Genomic DNA, 23,224 nt, shown 5'->3' with positions numbered 1-23,224 from the left:
GACTAGTTAATATTCCTAAATTCTTAAAGAATCAGCAGAGAATGTCTCACAGTTGATATGGTTTGGCTCTGTGTCCCCACCCAAATCTCATCTTGAATTGTAGCTCCCCAAATTCCCATGTGTTGTGGGAGAAACTCGGTGGGAGTTCTCATGGTAAGTGAATAAGTCTCATTAGATCTGATGGTTTTATAAAGGGAAGTTTCCCTGCACAATCTCTCTTCTCTTGTCTGACGCCATGTGAGACGTGTCATTCACCTTCCACCATGATTGTGAGGCCTCCTCAGCCACAAGAAACCGTGAGTTCATTAAACTTTTGTAAATTGTCCAGTCTCCGGTATGTCTTTATGAGCAGCATGAAAATGGACTAATACACACAAAAAAGAAGGAAAGCTGTTACTGACACAAACCAAAGATACCGTAGTACGTAACACCCAGTATGGTTCTATAGTTAAGGAAGTTTGTGAAGTGCTATCAAACTAACTTTAAAAATGGTTCTTTCTAGAAGTACTTCCTCAGAGTCTCAAATATGCTAATGGATACTTTGACAAGGGAGGTCACGGTGCAGCATTTCCAAAATTTATCTGACCACACATTTTGTTAAAACATTAGTTTAAAAGTATTCTCCAAAGTCATCAAGAATTGAGCTTCATTTATATTCATTTGTATTCTGTAAAGGAAAATTGAGATTATCTCTAGCATACATGGGCATTACCCTCTTCTGAGTAAAATAAAGAAATCAAGTATTTTAGTTTCAGTATATAAAAGTCAGCATCCCAAAAGGCCTTCAACTTGCCCACAATTTGAAAAAAATTCAAATGATACTCAAAGGGAGAGACAGATTTATAAAGGAATTTATTAAGAGCATGCTAAGGAACAAGGTTCTTAGGAAGTTCTATTATTTCAGAAATGAGAAAACAAAAGGTCGAGTTACATGCTGAAATATGCAATATAAAATAAACTGCATAGAGGTATGGTATTATATGTTATGGAAGAGTATATGTAAGGCTTAACATAACAATAAATTGATATATACACTACAGGCCTTGGAATCAGAGACCTGAGTTTGAATTTTGGTTCTGCAGCTTACTGGCTGTCTGATTTCAAGGAAAACTACTTCTCCAAGCTTTTCTCAAAAATAGGGAGAAAAATACCTCATCAAATAGCTATACATATTAAATGACATAATCCACGCTAGCTTATTAGCATAGTATCTGGCACATAACAGAGACTTAACAAATGAAAGGTGTCAGCTGGGTGTGGTGGCTCATGCCTGTAATCCCAGAACTTTGGGAGGCTGAGGTGGGCGGATCACCTGAGGTCAGGAGTTCCAGACCGGCAGCCTGGCCAACATGGTGAAACCCTGTCTCTACTAAAAATACAAAAACTAGCCTGTAGTCCCAGCTACTTGGGAGGCTGAGGCAGGAGAATCACCTGAACCCGGGAGGTGGAGGTTGCAGTGAGCAGGGATAGAGCCACTACACTCCAGCCTAGGTGACAGAGTGAGACTCTGACTCAAAAAAACAAACAAACAAAACAAACAAAAAACAAATGAAAGGTGGTATTATTACAAGCAAAGGTTTTTAAAGGAATAATATTTCATATTTAGGTCAAGGGAAACAAATAGTCAGATAAAACTGGTCAGTGTAAAAATGAGTAAAATCTTTCCAGAAAGCAATATAGCAATCCGTAAGAAGAATCTTTAAAACAATTCTTGGGCCGGGCGCGGTGGCTCACGCCTGTAATCCCAGCACTTTGGGAGGCTGAGGCGGGCGGATCACCTGAGGTCAGGAGTTCGAGACCAGCCTCAACATGGGGAAACCCCGTCTCCACTAAAAATACAAAATTAGCAGGGAGTAGTGGTGCATGCCTGTAATCTCAGCTACTCGGGAGGCTGAGGCAGGAGACTTGCTTGAACCTGGGAGGTGGAGGTTGCGGTGAGCCGAGATCGAGCCATTGCACTCCAGCCTGGTCAACAAGAGCAAAACTTCGCCTCAAAAACAAACAAACAAACAAACAATTCTTATTCTTTAACCCAGTAACTGTATTTCTAAAAATCTACCCTAAGAAACAGTCAAAAACACCAAGATTTTAGCAGCTGTAAAGACTAGGTAATGGTTTTGAATTCTTCTCCTTGCTACTAAAGATAATAGTTTTCTTCTTTGCTTTTCTCTTCTTTTTTTGAGACGGAGTTTCACTCTCGTAGCCCAGGCTGGAGTGCAATGGCACAGTCTCGGCTCACCGCAACCTCCACCTCCTGGGTTCAATCAATTCTCCTGCCTCAGCCTCCTGAGTGGCTGGGATTACAGGCATGCGCCACCACGCCTGGCTAATTTTTTTGTATTTTTAGTAGAGATGGGGTTTCACCATGTTGGTCAGGCTGGTCTAGAACTCCCGACCTCAGATGATCCGCCTGCCTTGGCCTCCAAAAGTGCTGGGATTACAGGCGTGAGCCACTGAGCCTGGCCTATTCTTTTCATTAATTCAAGTATCTTTGGGCAGCTTAAAAAATTTACATTAATTCAAATCATATCCCTGTAATTTAGTAAAACAAAAAAACTGATAAATGCTTAAGGTTCATCATATCTATCATAAAAGTTAAATGTATGATTCCATGGAATTGTAAAGTACTCTATAGTTTGATGAAACTCATTTGCCAAGCCGAGAAGCCTTTACACAAATACTTACGGAAATCAACGCATACTTAAATAGGCTGACGAATCTCATACAAAAAGAAAGCATGAAAACAGCAGCCGCCAGCTTAAGGTTGTCCATCTGATTCATAAATTGTTTATGATATTTTAAACTTTATTTGCCAAAGTTTCCAATGGGTCTAAATAGCAAAACTGTCTTTATTCTATACTACTATATAAAAAGAACATAAAGGATTCATTTCTTTACTAACAAACAAATAATTTAAACAAAAAGTAATCGTGGACATCTGTGGCATCATGCGGTATATTTGGGGAGTTAGGTTTTCATAAGATTTCAAAGATTTTTATATATTCAGGAATCATATCAACTATGTCCATAAAATGTTTTTATATCAATAAAACCTTTGATTCTCCTATATTTAATATACAGAAAACATTTTTCCCTACTGACTAAACTGTGACCTTAAGTTCCAGTAATACAATTAGAAAATTATATATTACAATGGACTTAGGGTCAGAAAACCTGGGTTAGAAATCCTACCTCCATCAATTATTAGTGTTGACCTTGGGCTAATCATTTAATGCCTTAGGACATTTTTCCTTATTTGTATAATGAAGAAGTTTAGAAGCTTATTTCAAAGATTCCTCTTTGTTGTGAAGACTTAATGGCTTCAATGAATAGTGATAAATCTAAAGTAATTCTGACAAAAAAAAAATTCCAGAAATAAGGAAGACTATTACGGCCAGCAGGGAAGGCCCAGGTCCCAAAGCTTGGTTTTCCCTGTTTTTTTTATTGTTTTTGTTTTTTTGAGACAGAGTCCTGCTCTGTCACCCAGGCTGGAGTGCAGTGGTGTGATGGCTCACTGCAACCTTCACCCTCTAAGTTCAAACGATTCTTCAGCCTCTCTAGTAGCTAGGATTACAGAGGTGTGCCACCATGCCCAGCTAATTTTTGTATTTTTAGTAGAGACGGGGTTTCGCCACGTTGGCCAGGCTGGTCTCAAACTCCTGACCTCAAGTGATCAACCCGCCTTGGCCTCCCAGAATGCTGGGATTACAGGCATGAGCCACCACCATGCCCAGCTAGTTTTCCCTCTTCAAAGAGATTTCTTCTCCAGCATTTTTGTTTCAAAACAAAATGTGATAGGTGGTATCAAAGAATTAACTTTTAAAGGTCATGATTCCGGATGTAAATTTTAATAAACTTTGGCCTATAAAGAACAAATATTAGCTCACCATCATGATAGCTATGACAAACAGCTTTGTATTTTTTAAAAAGATATTCATATCAGAAATTTGTTATATCTGAGTTTCATATACTGAAGAAAAACCAATGCTAACAAATTTTAGTAGGAATTACATTGTATCCTAGAGATGACCCTATAAAGCAGATTCTTTTTTTTTTTTTTTTTTTTTTTTTTTTAGACAGAGTCTCCCTCTGTCGCCCAGGCTGGAGTGCAGTGGTGTGATCTCGGCTCACTGCAACCTCCACCTCCTGGGTTCAAGTGATTCTCCTGCCTCAGCCTCCCCAGTAGCTGGGACTACAGGCATGTACCACCACGGCTGGCTAATTTTTTATATTTTTAGTAGAGACGGGGTTTCACTGTGTTAGCCAGGGTGGTCTCAATCTCCTAACCTTGTGATCCGCCTGCCTCAGCCTCCCAAAGTGCTGGGATTACAGGTGTGAGCTACCGCATCCAGCGGATTAGCAGATTCTTTACACATGTGAGATGTTGGCTTTATCACTGAATTTGTCTTTATAACAATTTACTTCACCAATATATTCTTTACTATTTGATTTTGATGCTATTCTTTACTGCAGTGAAGTGACATAAATGCTTTCAGAAATATCCCTCAAAACAGTGTGAAAAAATTCAAGGAGGTGATACTAAAATCTTTATTCTGAATTACTCTCATAGAATTAACCCCTGGTATTCCTCAGCAGGAAATCAATGAAAAGAATACCTCAAATAGAAAGGTAAAAGCTCTTTGAAGTAGTTTCATTTACAAAGGCTTTATGAAGCTCTCTAAAAAATTTCTGATACCATCATGATACATGGAAATATCCTATATTCTTTTTTCTGTTTTTGAGACAGAGTCTCACTCTGTTGCCCAGGCTGGAGTGCAGTGGCACGATCTCAGCTCACTGCAACCTCCATCTCCTGGGTTCAAGCAACTGTTCTGCCTCAGCCTCCTGAGCAGCTGAGACTACAGGTGCGCACCACCACACCCAGCTAATTTTTTTTTTTTTTTTGTATTTTTAGTAGAGACAGGGTTTCACCATATTGGCCAGGCTGGTCTCGAACTCCTGACCTCGTGATCCACCTGCCTCAGCTTCCCAAAGTGCTGGGATTACAGGCATGAGCCACCATGCCCAGCTTAGTTATGTACTCTTCCACATTGCTGCTACATGTATAAATTAGTAAAAAAATTCAAAAGCAAATTGCATGTATATCAAGAACCTTAACCATATTTCTGCTATTTTTCTACTTTTCTATATTTTCCAATGAGTTACAACTTGTTTTTACACAATGTTCTGTTCCCTAATTTAAAAAAGAAACAAGAAAAGTGTACGCCCTATGACCTAGTAATTCTACTAGAAGTAAAATTCTATTTTGGAAATAAATTAAGTTCCTACTAGCAGGGTGTAGTTAAGTAAATTATGGTACATCCACTTAATACAATATTATATAGACATTAAAATTATGGCACATGAAAATAATGAAATATCTTAAATGAAACAAAAGTACAAAATTACATGCATCAAATGCTCACACTAGTGTTAATGCATAACAAAAAAGACTTTACAAATCAACAAGAAGACAATAACAAATCTGATTTTAAAATGGGCAAAGGACTTGAATAGACATTTCTCCAAAGATAGATATACAAATGGCCAATAAGCACACAAAAAGGATGCTCAATATCACTAATCATTAGAGAAAGGCAAATCAAAAGCACAATGAAATACTACCTCATACCCATTAGGACAGCCACTATCAAAAAAGAAAAAAAACAACACTACTGCTGGCAGGGATGTGTAGACATTGAAAACTTTGTGCACTGTTGGTATGAATGTAAAATGGTACAGCTACTATGGAAAACAATACAGAAGTTCCTCAAAAAATATTAAAAAGTGAATTACCATATATCTAGTAATCCTACTTCTGGGTATATACACAAAAGAACTGAAAATGGTATCTTGAAGAGATATTTCTATACCCATATTAACAGCAGCAGCCAAACGGTGGACGCAACCCAAATGTCCACTGATGGATGAATAAGCAAAATGTGGTATATACATACAATGGAATATTATTCAGTGTTAGAAAGGAAGGAAATTCTGACACATGCTACGACATGGACGAATCTTGAGGACACTATGCTAAGTGAAATAAGGCAGTCATCGAAGAAAAAATACTATATGATTCCACCTTTATGAGGTATCTAGAGTAGTCAAATTCATAGAGACATAAAGTAGAATAGTGGTTTCCAGGGGCTGAGGTGAGAGGAAACCAGGGAGCTGTTTAATGGGTATAGAGTTTTCATTTTACAAGATGAAGGGCTCTGGAGATGGGCTGCACAATAATGTAAATGTATTTAACACCACTGAAGTGTACACTAAAAAATGGTTAAGATGCTAAATTTTTATGTTTTATATATTTTAACATAATTCCTTTCCTTTCTTCCTTTCCTTTCTCCCTTCCCTTCCCTTTCCCTTTCCTTTTCCCTTTCCTTCCTTTCCTTCTTTTCTTTTCTTTTCTTAAGACAGAGTCTTGCTCTGTCACCCAGGCTGGAGTGCAGTGGTGTGATCTAGGCTCACTGCAACCTCCGCCTCCGGGGTTCAAGCAATTCTCTTGCCTCAGCCTCCCAGGTAGCTGGGATTACAGGCATGCGCCACGACACCTGGCTAACTTTTTTGTATTTTTAGTAGAGACGGGGTTTCCATGTTGGCCAGGCTAGTCTGGAACTCCTGAACTCAAGTGATCTGCCCACCTCGGCCTCCCAAAGTGCTGGGATTACAGGCATGAGCCACCGTGCCTGGCCCCACAATTATTTTTAAAAAGACTTTAAAAATGCCTACAGGCTAGAAATAATCATATATAATTTATTTTATTTTTCTCTATTTACCTTTTTTCCTATAAGAAGTAACATTTTCATAATGAAAAAATAAGCTTTACCTTAAAAGTAAAAAAATGCTACTTCTACTGGATGCTCTCAGTTGTAAGTGGGAGCTAATCAATGGGTACACATGAACATACAAAATAGAATAACAGACACTGGAGACTCCAAAAGGTAGGAAGGTGAAAGGAGGCTCGAGGTTGAAAAATTATCCATTGGATATAATGTTCACTATTTGGGCAATGGGTACACTAAAAACCTAGAGTTCATGGAATATATCCATGTAACAAAACTGCACTTGTACCTCTTAAATCTATAAAAAAAAAGTTTTTTTTAAAGACATCCTATTTCTTACATGAGAACTTATAAGGTGAATAATTACAGCCAAACATTCAAGCCAGTTATGTGGGTAATAATTAATTTAAATGTGCATTTAAAAAATCAATCCATATGTCATAAAATAAACTTCAATATGCCTATTTTAAAATTATGTCCATCAATAGCAGACGCAAGATATGTTCATTGTTAAAGAAAGATTTTTCTGAAATTTGACTTTAAAACATTTTTCTCAAAGTGGCAAAGGAAAATATTTCTAACCAATTAAATTTTATTCTTTTTAAGTTAAAACAGAAAATGAAAAGAATCACTTTCAAAAAAGAGACAAAAGCAGATATTTAGTAAATTTATTCATCTGAACACAAGCATTTCCTCTACTGCAACATCCACGATGTCCTAGAGAAAAATGGTGAAAATATTTGATTCTGCAAAAAGAACTAACTGTCTTTAAAATGTGGTTTCAAATTGTAACATAAGACTGACCTTTAAGATTTATGAAGCTGAATGTGCTTCTTTTGTATTTTAGAGCTTAGGTTTGTTAAACTGACCCCTAATTTTGTGGTGTGTGTGTGATCCTAGGTTCTCGTGTCTCTTAAATGCTACCCGCCTCTAGTTATTGTATTTGTTTGAGCTTCATAAGACTTCACTGAGTTGGTGATCGCTAGATGGCCTAGTTTGTGCAAATATGTGTTGGTTTCTCTCCATATTCCTTTAGAGTTTTATTGTTTACAAGTTTCTTTTTTGTATTGAGAGAAAAATAGCCAAAGCATCTTTGACATCTTTTCTGCGACAGGCAGAAAGACCTGGAACAAAGTGGGGATCTTTTTTTTTTTTTTTGAGATGGAGTCTTACTCTGTCACCCAGGCTGGAGTGCAGTGGGGTGATCTCGGCTCACTGCAACCTCCGTCTCTGAGGTTCAAGTGATTCTCTTGCCTCAGCCTCCCGAATAGCTGGGATTATAGGAGCATGCCACTATGCCTGGCTAATTTTTGTATTTTTAATAGAGACAGGGTTTTGCCATGTTGGCCAGGCTGGTCTGGAACTCCTGACCTCAGATGATCTGCCTGCCTCGGCCTCCCAAAGTGCTGGGATTACAGGTTTGAGCCACCGCGTCTGGCCTAAAGTGAGGATCTTGAACCACCCTTTCTTTTCTGTTCTCCTTACCCTATTACCTACTGGACCAGATGTTTTGTCCTGAAAACTTGTCTCCTACTCTGCCCTCTTTTACATTCCCCTCCTCCAAAAGAAACCTATACACCCACACACATACTTGGTTAATTCTTGGGGTATCTCTGCAATTCTTAAATGATTTATGCAAAAATCCAGAAGAAGCTAGGAACTCTCCATCCCTTGTTCCCAATCTCCCAAGTCAAGACCTTTTCTTGATGTGATTCATGTCAAATACTTAGGACACTGCTGTATTTTGGATGGATCAAACCTACTTAATCTTTCATCTTAAGCAGATAGAAACAAATGGGGGCCTTCCATGTAGAAAGTGGGGTCTGGAGGGCAAGAAAGGGAATATGAATATATATCCAAGTCACTCTGGAACTTTTATGTGGGTATAAGAAACTTATGTCAAAGTGGCCACAAGATTGTTTAATAGGAGATAGAAGGATATAACTCCATGTTTACTGCTAGAAACCAAAGCTTTGTGTGAAATCTTGAATTTATGGGGACAGAGCGAGGGTACCTGTGTGTTCTTTCCCTGATCCCTTCCCCTCATTCCTGAACTGCAGGAGACTGAGCTCCTTTGGGCTTTGGTGACCCCATCACTGAGGGGTTTATTTGATAGTTGATTTTGCTGTACTGGGTACTTCCTTTCCCATTTCCTAATCATTCTGTAATACACATGCTGACTCTTTTCCCTCCCCTCCTTCTTTCCCTGGGAAGATACAATCAATCAATAAAGACTTACTGGTAGTGAAAAAAATTGTAATGAATCCTAATTTTCAAATTAATCATATTCCAATATATATCATAATAATTTAAAATTTGTTAACATAGTTATACAGAAAAGGAGAGTAGTCTCCCATTGGAGTTTATATCATTTAATACATGTTGTAGCTGTTCTAATACTTTTAAAATAAGCCTGAGTTTTCGATTATAAAATACTAGCTATAGAGTAAACATGAAAAGGGAAGAGGAAAAGCATTTTTATGCCCCTTTTTTGGCAGAGAGTTGTGCAGCCAAGCAAATTTTTAAACCAAATACATTTTGCTTCTGATATTTATTCTGCTCCCTTACCCTAGCATAATCCTGTTGTTCTAGGCAACCAACTGCAAATTTAATCGATTTTCAACTTTATTTATTAAGCTTCTACTGTGTGCCAAATACCTAATGATGGGAGAGAAGAAATTAAAGTCAGCCTGCTTGCCTTCAAATAGACCACAGTTGAGTATGAAACACAAAAAGTTTAAGTGTCACCCCACAGACTTCTAAAAGATACTAATATGTATCTATCTAGACCCAGGAGCATCAGAAAATATTACGTAGTAATCTTTTTAAAAGAGCAGAAAAGAAATTATTTCAAGTAGCTATAAAAGCATCAAGGAGATAGATTTAAAAAGCATGAATAAGAAAACATGAAGGGTTTAATAAGGGTCTTTGTAAGAAAGGCTTAATAGGCAGGCCTTGAGTCAGATGTCTTAGAGCCTTGCACAAGTCATGGTATGGAGATTTAAAAATCACTAGAATATTTTCATGGTTTGGGAGAACATGTTAAGCAAAGGATTGATACGATAACATTGATGTATCAAAGAGATAGTTTTGGCTTCAATGTAGAAGGGGATAAGGGTGAAAAGGGGCCGGGCTCGGTGGCTCACGCCTATAATCCCAGCACTTTGGGAGGCCGAGGCAGGTGAATCACGAGGTCTGGAGTTCCAGACCAGCCTGGCCAAGGTGGTGAAACCCCATCTCTACTAAAAATATGAAAATTAGCCGGGCACGGTGGCGGGTGCCTATAATCCCAGCTACTTGGGAGGCTGAGGCAGGAAAATCGCTTGAACCCAGGAGGCGGAGGTTCAGTGAGCAGAGACTGCGCCACTGCACTCTAGCCTGGGCGACAGAGCAAGACTGTCTCCAAAAAAAAAAAAAAAAAAAAAAGAGTGAAAAAGGAGAAAACAAGTAAATGTTGCCATAATCTGGCAAAAAAATTAAAGCCTGAAATAAAGCAATGACAGTGAGAATAAAAAGCTGTATTTGAGAAATGTTTAAAAAACGAAATTGTCCACTTTGGTGACATAAGCAGATGTGGGAGATGAGAGATCAGGAAAAGCCGAGATTGATTTCCAAGTTCCTCCTTTGAGAAACTGGGTCGATAATGGTGCCTTTGACTTAAATTAGAAATACAAGAAAAGCAGGCCGGGCACGGTGGCTCACGCCTGTAATCCCAGCATTTCTGGGGGCTAAGGCAGGCCAATCACCTGAGGTCAGGAGTTCAAGACCAACCTGGCCAACATGGTGAAACCCTGTCTCTACTAAAAATACAAAGATTAGCCAGGCATGGTGGCAGGCACCTGTAATCCCAGCTATTTGGGGGGCTGAGGCAGGAGAATCGCTTGAACCCAGGAGGCAGAGGTTGCAGTGAGCTGAGATCATACCACCTCACTCCAGCCTGGGTGATTTAAGCAGCTGTAGGGATAAGATAAGAAAGGGGAGACTAAAGAGTAGGGGATGAACTGTTCCATTTTAGATGTGGCAAATTTGAAAATTTTGAGAGACATTCAAGTGGAATTCCTCAAGAGAGCTGAACTAACAACAAGAAATTTGGGTATTATAGATGATATCTAAAGCCACACATCCAAAGGTGAGACATCCAAAGGATAAGCAAATTAAGAAAGGTTGGAAAAAAGAGCCTAGAACCAAACAGGGAATGCCAGTATTTTTAGAAAGGGTAATATTCCAGAAAGACTGAAGAGTGGCCACAGTGATACACAGTAAAAAAGATCAAGGTAGAAAAGAAGATGAGTGTGTTGACATTTCAGAAACAAATTTTTTTTTAATGTTTCAAGAAGTCTGTTCTCCATATTTCGTATTTTGGCATCAAAATTGTTTTGCAACAAAATATAATCGTACATTGTGCAAAATTCACTTACAAACATATTAAGGTTTCTACAAATCTGCATTAACTTCCACAGCCTCTGAACAACTGCAGAAAAAGTTAACACTGATAATGGAAAAGCTATCAAGTAGCTGGTTGCTTCAAAATTTTGTTTGTATTAATGTTATAATATGATTTTGAGCTATCAAAAATATATTTACAAAAGTATCCTATTGATATTATTCAGCTTGATGTGGGATCTTACTTTTTCATTAACAGAAATACATATTTTTACATTAGGAAGTATGGGAATTATTACCAGTTTTCATCTATGAGCAACAATTTTGGAATTCATATATTTATTATTGTATGGGAGAATCAATATGCTATCAATGTTTCCATTTACAATGAGTATGTATTACTTTAATTGTAATAAAAAATGTTATTTGACCCTGAAAGGGCACCAAATCATTTATGAATTTTATTTAAATTATACAAACATATCACATATTTGGAGAGAAGAATGGAAATAAACACCCAAAATCATCATTTAGGTCATTACATGGTGTAAAAGTTAGGAATAATGGCCATGAAGTCAAAAAGAACTAAACTGAAACTCTCGCTCTGAAACTTTGTGCCTAATTTATAAAGTAGTCATTATGAAGACAACATATATTTTGTGACCTCAAAAGAAAAGTGTCTGATACACAATTGGTACACAATAAATATTGGTTAGATAAATCATTTAATTAAAAAGCTATGTCTCGGCCAGGCACGGTGGCTCACGCCTGTAATCCCAGCACTTTGGGAGGCTGAGGTGGGCAGATCACAAGGTCAAGAGATGGAGACCATCCTGGCCAACATGGTGAAACCCGGTCTCTACTACAAATACAAAAAATTAGCTGGGCATGGTGGCGCCCGCCTGTAGTCACAGCTACTCGGGAGGCTGAGGCAGGAGAATTGCTTGAACCCAGGAGGTGGAGGCTGCAGATTGCACCACTGCACTCCAGCCTGGCAACAGGGCGAGACTCCATCTCAAAAAAAAAGCTATTTCTTATACAAAAACATTATTCAGTGAATGACATACAATTTGAGTTAGAGTAATAGGTTTGCACCAAGCAATCCACATGTTTTATATAACACTCCCTATAATCAGTGGCCTGTATTTACAGGGTATGTAACTTGGAGTCTACAAACTGTGGTAGAAGACAGTGTTTCCATGAGAAACAATTGTTTTTCAAAGACTCATCTTAGTATATTCAGACACAAATAGTTAGAAGAGCTCAGAAGCAACTAATTACTTAAAGGGCCTCAAGGATATTTCTGGATAGAATGAAAATAATATATGTCATGAACTGAAATTCTTCCCATACAAAGAAATTCCAGTTTGACTACCTTTAAAGTATTTAGACAATTACAAGTGATTTAATACTAGTTTCAATTCAAGATAAAACTTGGTTATGTAATTAAATGCAAACAGAGATTAAGTATAAAAATTAGTAAAAATATGTTCAAATGTGAATCAAAACAAAAACAAAAAATAGCTTCTTAAAATCAAAGACAACAACAATAATAGAAAAATACCTTGCAGTTCTGTAGCAGTCGTATGAGATGTTCAAAGCAATTGCTGTTAAGAAAAATGGCCTGAAGAACAGGTCTATCTGTACAATCTAACATGGCTGTGATGGTATCTAGGAAAATAAAAAGAAAATCATCCATGTAAAAATGAAAATTTGGGATCATACAAACATTTACTCTAATCATTTTTCTTTTTAATTTTTAAAACAACTTTGATGTTCAGTATTTTTAAAATGACACTAACACACAAAAGCACATAAAAGCATTTTTATGCCTTTAGAAGCTATACACCAAACAATTAATGTTCGTTATGAGTGAGTGGCAGGATATAAATAACTTTTCTTTTTACTTATCTGAATTTCCTAGTTTAGCTCTAATGAAAACGTTTTACTTCTAAAAGGAACTATCAGTTAATAATATTTGTATTTAACAACCTTACATGGGAACACAATAAGAAATCATAATATATTGGTGAAGGAGCTTGCAGAGCATAGAGACAGAGATAAATAAGCAGAATGACACAAAACAACCAACACAAAGAGAAGGGAAGAGAAACACACACACACACACACACACACACACACACACACACACACACAGGCTCTGAGGAAAAAAAGAAACAAAAACGGAGGCCCTCTAGAGAAAGGGCAGATTTTTGAAGCGACCTCTACAGAGATGTTATAGAGGCACATACAAAATTCACTGTATGTGACTCTTTACCATAGGTTACTACAAATGGTGCTTTCTGAAAATTTACTTTTCCTAGAATTTCAAAGTCTTAGCTAACTTTCTTTTTCACATTGATGCTTTTAGGAGATTACACTTTCAAAACAATATAGAGACTTGACTTTGTTATTGTTAAAGCAAAGAGGTTGTAACAAACACATCAATTCTATATAAATTATTTTGAAGTCAAAGTCTAAGCAGTCATATGATATCTGAATTAAACAATCAATACTTTCCATACAATGGCCTTGTATTTCAAAAGAAAGTGGTAGATATGAAAATAAAAAACAGACTCAGAAAAAGTTGTCATTATGTAATACTTACTCAGCATTTTGATCTGTAGAGCAATAAATCGGTTTTCCCACTGTCTGGACCTCCTTTGATTAGGTAAAGCTGAATGATCTGAATTTAGCAATTTAAAATAGTTCTCCAGAATAGTACTGGTTTCCACTTGACGCTGATCAGAGTTGCTACTGAGAAGGATATGTACCACTTCTGTAAGGCACTTCAGAGTTAGTTCTGCCTTCCTACCCACTTCTTCAGGATCTCCATCCTCCCAGGAATCACAATCTGCCAATACTCGCATAAGAACTTCCATAGTGGCTGGAGAAATTGCTTGCAAAGCATTCCTCTGAAACATTAGAGACAATAAAAATGAAACCTAAACCTAATGAAGTTGTGTATGTTTGCAATAATGAGAATTTAATACATCTGCAGGCAACCTTTTCTTTTAATAAAGACATAAAAATTTGTAACAGATACTCTGATAGCCACTGCTAGTGGTTCATACATATTAAATCTTCCCTTCCTCTCAGAAAACTCACTTTACACTCTCTCTTGTGGCTAAGGGTAGCCATGTGACATAGTTCTGGTCAAGGATATATGGTAGTAGACTATGAAGAGGGTATCATTTTATAAACAAAAAGGGAAGGACCCTTTGCTCTTGGGCCTTTCACCTTTTCCTGCCTAGAATGTAAACATAATGCTTGCAGCCACCTTTATATCATGAAGAGATAAGTCCATGATTAAAGTAGCAGGCTACAGAAAGAATAGGAATATTGAAGGACCTCAGTCCTTGATGTTCTTATTGAGTTGCTGTACCAGCTCAAAACTGCCTAACCCTGGATTTCTTAGGCAAAATGAAACATAAAAAACAACCTCAAATCGATTAAGTCTCTCTAAGGTTTTCAGGTTGGTTACAGAAAATCCATCACAACTGATTTAAACATGTAAGATGACTGGTTTGGTTTTGATTCTACAAACATATTTCTGAAATTCCATATACTAAGTAATTGGTAGTTATATGTCAAGGTGACCAGAAGAACACAGAAATAAACAATATGTATTGCCCTAAATTGTCAAATTACAACATAATGAAACAGAACATAGTCATGCAAAATTATCTGAATTAGCACTTAAGCCATTAGGACTGTTTTCATCAATAATTATCAATATAATACATAATATCAACAACAATAATTACTGCTATGGAAGAAACTGCTAATGGCCCACCCAATATTCAATTTCCTTCACCTTCCTTATTCAGAGAAACTGATGTTTTCCTGAACACATGGCCACCCAGAATAAATTCACATTTCCTAGCCGCCCCTGCTGCTAAGGAGGCCAAGGAAGCAAGTTTTATCACATTTTTTATGTGGACATATTTTCCTTCTCTATAGTCATATGACCAAGTTTGGCAAATGAGATCAAAAGACAGGGAGTGTCAGCTTTTCAGGACCTCTTTATTTTGTTTTTTATTTTTTCAGACAAGGTCTTCCTCTGTCACCCATGTTGAAATGCAGTGACATGATCATGGTTCACTGCAGCCTCAACTATTCAGGCTTTGGCCTCCTGAGTAGCTGGGACCACAGGTGTGCACCATCATACCTGACTAATTTAAAAAAACTTTTTTGTAGAGACAGGGTCTCCCTGTGTTGCCCAGGCTCGTTTTGAACTCTGGGGCTCAGAGATCCTGCCACCTCAGTCTCCCAAAGTTCTGGGCTTATAGGCGTAAGCCACCATGCCCGGCCTCAGTATGTCTTTAAAAGATACTTGACACATGCCATTTGTATCCTTCTTCCTTACCCCCTCTATCTTAGAGCCCCAAATGTGAACATAATGGCCAGAACTCTAGAAGCTATCTTGCAGCATGAAATAGAATAGTAAGCATGACAGATTGACATTCAAAAGAAAACTGAATCCCTGAAGATCCCAGAGGCACCAGATTAACTCTGAATTATTTATTACTTTGTTTTTAATTAGAAAAGTAACTTAAGCTGTTTTAATTTTATTAACTGCTACATAAAGCAAATCATAGATCTAACTGATAAAACTTTTATTTACTTAGTTTTTAAAAGTACAAGTACTTTGTTAAGTGCTGTACATATATTATGTCATTTAGTCCTTACAAATATCCCATAAATGTTACTATTTCCGTATCATAAATTAATAAACTAAAACATATGTAAATAGTATATCCAAAGTCACATAACTAGTTAGAGATGAACACTCAAACCTAGGTCAGTCTGGCTACAAAATCTTTGTTTTTAACATAACACAAAACAGGACAGGTTTCAAATATGCCAATGGGAAGCCCAGATATGATGCTTTGGGAAAGGAAACCAGTAATTAGACTTTGATTTTTCTGACCTTTATGACATGACCATTCTTTAGCTTTTATATATTCAATTCCTCTAAACACCCTTGTACTAATGCCATATTCAACAAACAACTTTCCAACTTTGATATAAATCCCACTATAGCTATGCCTGGATCACAAGGATTTTTGGTACATAAAATAATAAATTGGACTTCCAGTAGCTACTTGATTTTAGTGTTAGGTTTCATTATGGAGGTCTCCTGGGGTTTGACTACCCCTAGGCACTAACAAGAACAAGTCTCTGTGTTTTCGAAAAGAGAAGAGGATCCAATCAGCTTCTACATTAGTCATAACAATGCCACTTCCATTTTTATTCCTGTATACTTAATCATTTTTTCACTGTAGTAGAGAAATGATAGAAATGGGGAAATAATGATCCAAAAGAAGGAAATCAGCTAATACTGGAACGTGATTAAGCAAACTTACACTGAAAAATAAGATTCTGGTCACCATCCCTCTCACTACAAGGAGACTCTTTTCTTCTACTAGGGTGAAGAGGAGAAGGTCACACAGACCACCTGGAAACCTAACTAGGGACTCTGGCTAGGTGCCAAAAAAAGGACAGGACAAATAAAACAAAAGAAATGGAAATTTCACTAGTGCTCTGGAGGCTAACAAGGTACAAGAGTAAAAAGGAATAAAAATATATTTTTTAAAAAGGCCATTGAGCATAAGGGCCATGCAATGAAAAAAAACATACAGAGAGAAAACAAAACAGAGCAAAAACAAGGAGGAAAGGGGAATTGCATTAATACAAACAGATAAGAAACTTTTTTTTTGAGATGAAGTCTCGCTCTGTTGCCCAGGCTGGAGTGCAGTGGTGCGATCTCGGCTCACTGCAAGCTCCGCCTCCCGGGTTCACGCCATTCTCCTGCCTCAGCCTCCAGAGTAGCAGGGATTACAGGCGCCCACCACCATGCCCGGCTAATTTTTTTTTGTATTTTTAGTACAGACAGGGTTTCACCATGTTAGCCAGGATGGTCTCAATTTCCTGACCTCATGATCCACCCACCTCAGCCTCCCAAAGTGCTGTGATTACAGGGGTGAGCCACCATGCCCGGCCAGGAAACTCTTAAACTCAGAATGGTGTTTACAAAATTAATACTCAATAAAATATATCTCAATTGGACATATTAAATAAAAAGAAATCTCCCAAATACATAAAGTCAACTGTTTATGAAGTTCACTTGAGAAATGAAGATTACACTCTCTCAAATCTCCAAACAGACTAAGAAATGATAAATACATTATCAAACAAGTAGCAGTTGCTTACTGCTAGAAGATTAAAAGTTCCCTAGAGCTATAAGTTAAAAAGCCTTATAAAAAGGCTCTTGAACTCAAATAAATATCTAAGCATTAAACTTCATGATGCTGTCCTGAATGTAGACAAGGATTTCCTCCTAAATGCCAAAAATAATAAGGTAATATGCCTAGTGTATTATTGGCATAATTTTGTATCTTTAAATAAAATTTACTTAAGTTTTTAAAAATACAGGTTTCTAAGTTTTTTAAATTATAATTTAAATATGTAATTTGGTACAACAATATTAAGAACATAGTACACTGATGCTAGTAAGAGAATGTTTAATGTGAAAGAAAAAACTGATAGTTAAAAAAGAGAAGATAAAAACTTTCGACCTAAGATAGAGAAAGAAACAGAGGGAGGGAATTATAGAGATTTATAAACTTGGATGGAAAAAACCAGATATCTTAATTTCTACTAATTTCTAACTAAAATTTAGTATTTCCTTCAAGTTTAAATGTAAGCAACAAAACAACAGTAGTATAAATAATACTTGTGATTTTGTTGGCTAGGCACAGTGACTCACACCTGTAATCCTAGCACTTTGGGAGTCTGAAGTGGGCAGGTTGCTTGAGCCACGAATTGCTCAACCTGGGCAACATGGCAAAAGAGTGTCTTTACAAAAATACAAAAATACAAAAATTAGCTGAGTGTGGTGGTGTGCACCTGTAGTCCCAGCTCCTTAGGAGGCTGAAGTGGGAGAACTGACTGAGCCAGGAGGCCAAGGCTGCAGTGAGCCATGATAGAGCCACTGCACTCCACTCTGGGCAGCAGAACAAAACCCTGTCTCAAAACAACAACAACAAACAAAACAAAACAAAACAAACTTGTGATTTTGTCATCAGTAAAAATCATATGCATTTTCATTTATTACAGCTGTTACAGTCACTCAAAATATCATTTATGCTAATTTCTTCTTGGAAGTTACATTAGTTTCTAGACTTGCTGTTATAGCTTTTTTAGTTTAATGTATTATAAAGAAGCACATATTACTATGTCACAGATTTGTTTTATTAATATTTTAGTAACTGCATTTCAGTATAATTGGTTTCCTTTATTTCAGGCATTTAAAACATTCTGACAAAGGGCTTTATCAGATTGCCAAGGGGACGTGTGCTATAAAAAGTACAAGTGTTAGGAACCTCTGATCTAAACTGTGTGGTTTAAGAAAACACATGTTTATACATGTACTTTCTGAACTATAATCCTTTCGTCAACTAGAATTTATATTCAAAGTTTATGACAGTGGTAGGGCATGGGGGACTCACGCCCGTAATTCCAGTACTTGGGGAGGCTGAGGTGGGCAAGATCGCTTGAGCCCAGCAGTTTGACCCGCCTGGGCAATATGGCAAAACCTCATGTTTGCTAAAAATACAAAAATTAACTGGGCATGGTGGTGTGTGCCTGTAGTCCCAGCTACTTGGGAGGCTGAAGTGGGAGGATTGCTTGAACCTGGGAGGCAGAGGTTGCAGTGAGCCAATAGTCGCACTTCTGCACTCCAGCCTGGGAAACACAGCAAGACCCCATTTCAAAAAACAAAAACAGAAAAGTTTATGACAGCACTTAGATGCTTACCTTAAAAAAATACTAGAAATTCTTTTTTGTAAATTTTAAAACACTAGTTGGATTTGTTGAAAAAAAAACATATACACTTACAAAAATACATTTAGTATTATAAGTACACAGAAGAGTGAATAAATTCATGTCTTTAGAAACCAAACTACTAGACTTCGATTTCATCAAGTGGACTGATGAGGTTGACTTCCTCTATCATCTGAAATAAAAACTAGTGCTTGAAAGCTAACATAAATAAGAACTTACAATACCAAAAATTGTTAAATTTGTTTATTTATTCAGTAATTTTATTGTCAGTGCTAAATATTACTTAGGTTTTTTGGAAAATAAAAGAAGTAGATTAGTTACAATATATAAGTTCAATATTTGTATGGTGAATGAAATTATAAAAAGACAAAGAACATACTAAATCTATGGAAAGCTTTTTGCACTGTTAATTATAATTTTATTTATTAAATTTCAACACTTTCCTTACCTGCCCACCGGCTACAATGGCTCCAAAGAGATGCAATAAGCAACATTTAAGACTTTCCTTGAGATGTTCACTTTCCTGAAAACATTCTGTAAATAATAAATAAATAAATAAATAAATAAGATTTGTCTTTCACAGTATGATTTATCTCTAAGGAATGTCTGATGCAAACACGAAGAACTATTTGTGAAAAGGCTGATCTGTGTTAAAAGCCAAGGTTGATATGCATTTTGTCTTAGGAAAAGAAAAGAGAAGCCATCTACCAGATAGCATTTTAGGTATTTACGTCATCTCACTTAGTTCTCATAATTCTCCATATAAGGATGATATTTGGCCCCCATTTATAAATGAGAAAAAGGAAGGTCAGAAGTTAATATCTTGCCTGAAGTCACATGGTTACTAACTGACAGGGCTAGAAACTAACCCAAACCTGGCATAAAATTAGATGTCTCTCTCTTTTTTTTTTCCTTTGAGATGGAGTCTCGCTATATCGCCCAGGCTGGAGTGCAGTGGTGTGATCTCAGCACACTGCAATCTCCACCTCCCAGATTCAAGCGATTCTCCTGCCTCAGCCTCCGGAGTAGCTGGGATTACAGGCACCTGCCACCACGCCCAGCTAATTTTTGTATTTTTAGTAGAGACCTCAGGTGACCCACCCGCCTCAGCCTCCCAAAGTGCTGAGATTACAGGCATGAGCCACCACACCCGGCCCCTTGTCAGGTCTTTATGCTGCTTTTTCTTTGTCATATGCATGTATAGCCTCTAAAAAATAAAATAAAATAATTTATAATTTTAAAAGAAAGGTTACTATTGGTACCAGAATTTTAGAATATTAGTCCTGGAGTGGACCCAGGAAATGTTTTTGTCCAACTCTTTCATTTTCTAGTTGATTAGTGATGGTCAATTTTTACTAATGAGAGGTGTAATAGTCTTAGTAAAGAGACATCTAGGCTGGGCGCAGTGGCTCATGCCTGTAATCCCAGCACTTTGGGAGGCCGAGGCAGGCGGATCACCTGAGGTCAGGAGTTCGAGACCAGCCTGGCCAACATGGTGAAATCCTGTCTCTACTAAAAATGCAAAAATTAGCCAGGTGTGGTGGCGGGCACCTGTAATCCCAGCTACTCGGGAGGCTGAGGCAGGAGAATCTCTTGAACCCAGGAGGCAGAGGTTGCAGTGAGCTGAGATCGTGCCACTGCATTCCAGCCTGGGCAACAGAGCAACACTTCATCTCAAAAAAAAAAAAAAAAAAAAGTACATAGTACATATATGTACTCCTGCATCATACTTTTTTTGCTTTTTAACTTAATACATTCTGGACATTACTACATCTTTCTACTTTTTTTTTTGTTTGTTTGTTTGTTTTTGAGACAGGGTCTTACTTTATTGCCTAGGCTGGAGGGCAATCACAGCTCACTGCAGCCTTGGCTGCCTGGGCTCACGTGATTCTCCCACCTCGGCCTCCCAGGTAGCTGGGACTACAGGCACACGCTACCATGACCATCTAATTTTTTGTATTTTTTTGCAGAGACAGGGTTTTGCAATGTTGTCCAGGCTGGTCTCAAACTCCTGGGCTCAGGTGATCTGCCCACCTCAGCCTCCCGAAGTGCTGGGAGTACAAGGGTGAGCCACTGCGTCAAGCCTGGACATTACTACATCTTAACAGATACACCTGCCTAATTCATTTTTTGTAATGACTAGAGGGCATACACCACTACAATGTGTTAACTTCACTTATCCAGTTCTCTACTGATAAACTGCTATGCTTTTCCCCTTTCTTTTGATGCTGTTATGAATACCCTTTTGCACATGTCATTACACACTGGGACAAGACTGTAACAATAAAATTATTTCCAATAACAAATGTTACCAAAAAGAAACAGCTTTGAGGTAACCTGGATAGAAACTTATAATTAAAAAATTAAGAAGTTCCACCTATATCAGAATAACTGGTACTACGCATGGCTTTCAGCTATAAACAACTAGAAAACTGGAGAAAATCAGTTCCAGAAACTGGGTCACAGAACTGTGATACACACAAGAAGGAAAACAAAGTAAGCACAAGGATCACACCACAGATTCCTGTTTGGAGACACTTTCTGAACTGCTACATGGAAAGGAGGAACCCTAAAAGAACACAGCCATTTGCTGAGTTGAGGAGACAGAAATCAAAGTTCAGAGAGGCCCAGGCAACTGGAATTTGTAAAGCAGAGTACTGGAGTGGAGGAAGCTATACAGAGGAAGTGCTCCAGAAATATGCACAGGGCTCATTTTGGGTCTCAGTATCTATCCTCACACAATAGTGTGATAGCCCACAAGATCGGCAAAAAACTACAAAGAAACTGTAAGCTGAGTAATTCTCTGATTTTACACAGAGCTAGAAGATGACAGAGTTCCACTCAGCCACAGTGGACACACAGAAAGATAATACATAAAAAGGACATAAAAACATATACCATGCAAACTCTCATCATAAGATTGCTGGGTGGCTATATTAGTATCTGACAAAGTAGGCAAGAAATATAATCAAGGCAAGGAATGTTATTCATGATGAAAAGTGGAACTCAATAAATTTAAATAAGAAAATACAACTCAATGAGTTTAAGTTTATTGAAGTCATAAAGAGTATTTTCTCTTGCCATAAAGGAAATATATTAGAAAGTAATGAAAAAAAGATTATCTGGAGATCCTTTTCATGAAGATGGCATTAAAAGGAAGGTGGTCCCTGCCCCTCCCAAAGCCAAAGCCAAAGCCAAGGCTATGAAGGCCAAGCAGGCAGGGCTAAAAGGCATCCACCCCACCCCACACACACACAATCTGCACATCACCACCTTCTGGTGGCCCAAGACACTATGGTTCCAAACGCAGCCCAAACATCCTCAGAGGAACACTCAGAGAAGATACAAACTTGACTACTATGCCAGCATCAAAATCCCTTTAAGCCACTAAGTCAGCCAATGAAAAAGATGACAGCAAAACACTTGTGTTCACTGTAGATATCAAGCCCAACAACAGATCAGACAGGCCATGAAGAAGCTCTATTGACAATGATGTGGCCAGGTCTACACCCCAATCAGGCCTGCTGGAGAGAAGGCATATGTTAGACTGCCTCCTGACTATGATGCTTTCAATATTGCCTACAAAACTGGGATCATCTAAACTGAGTCCAGCAGGTTAATTCCAAATAGACACTTTTTTCACCATAAAGAAAAAAAGGGCTGGGGGTGGAGGCTCATGCCTGTAATCCTAGCACTTTGGGAGGCTGAGGCGGGTGGCTCACTTGCGGCCAGGAGTTCGAGACCAGCCTGGTCAACGTGGCGAAACCCCATATTTACTAAAAATACAAAAATTAGCTGGGTATGATGGCGGGCACCTGTAATCCCAGCTACTCGAGAGGCTGAGACATTAGAATCGCTTGAACCCGGGAGGCGGAGGCTGCAGTGAGCCAAGATCGTGCCACTGCACCACTCCAGCCTGGGTAACAGAGTAAGACCCCATGTCAAAAAAAAAAAAAAAAAAAAAAAAAGAAGAAAGAAAAAAGGATCTGTAAACTCCCCCAACATTTGCAGATTAAACAATACATGCCTTTTCATTTTATTAATGTAATCTTTTTTAATTGACAAATACAAATTGCATATATTTATGGTGAACAACATGGTATTTTGAAATATGTATACACTGTGGCTAAATCAAACTAATTAACATATACACATTACCTCACATACTTAACTTTTTTTGTGATGACCTCTCTTTTAGCTACTCT

The 23,224-nt window shown here is 37.7% G+C and overlaps 1 protein-coding gene and 1 pseudogene across 10 annotated transcripts in view; one reads left to right on the top strand and one right to left on the bottom strand.

The window, feature by feature from the left end:
- Nucleotides 1–23,224, bottom strand: part of NBEAL1 (neurobeachin like 1) — a 210,587-nt gene that overhangs the window by 127,890 nt on the left and 59,473 nt on the right. For 9 of the 10 annotated variants that reach the window (XM_011511658.4, XM_047445554.1, NM_001378026.1 and 6 more), the window contains 3 exons: nucleotides 19,468–19,553; nucleotides 13,780–14,086; nucleotides 12,736–12,842 (listed from right to left, as the gene is read on the bottom strand). In XM_011511658.4, coding sequence (XP_011509960.1) covers nucleotides 12,736–12,842; nucleotides 13,780–14,086; nucleotides 19,468–19,553 — 500 coding nt within the window. Of the gene's footprint in view, nucleotides 1–255; nucleotides 365–12,735; nucleotides 12,843–13,779; nucleotides 14,087–19,467; nucleotides 19,554–23,224 lie in introns of those variants that run through there. The other variant, XM_011511662.3, reaches the window with a different exon arrangement.
- RPL23AP36 (ribosomal protein L23a pseudogene 36) lies at nucleotides 22,174–22,620 on the top strand (annotated as a pseudogene).

The sequence above is a fragment of the Homo sapiens genome, chromosome 2, assembly GCF_000001405.40.
Source record: "Homo sapiens chromosome 2, GRCh38.p14 Primary Assembly".
NCBI classification, from domain to species: domain Eukaryota; kingdom Metazoa; phylum Chordata; class Mammalia; order Primates; family Hominidae; genus Homo; species Homo sapiens.
This window is presented reverse-complemented; position numbering and strand designations above follow the sequence as displayed.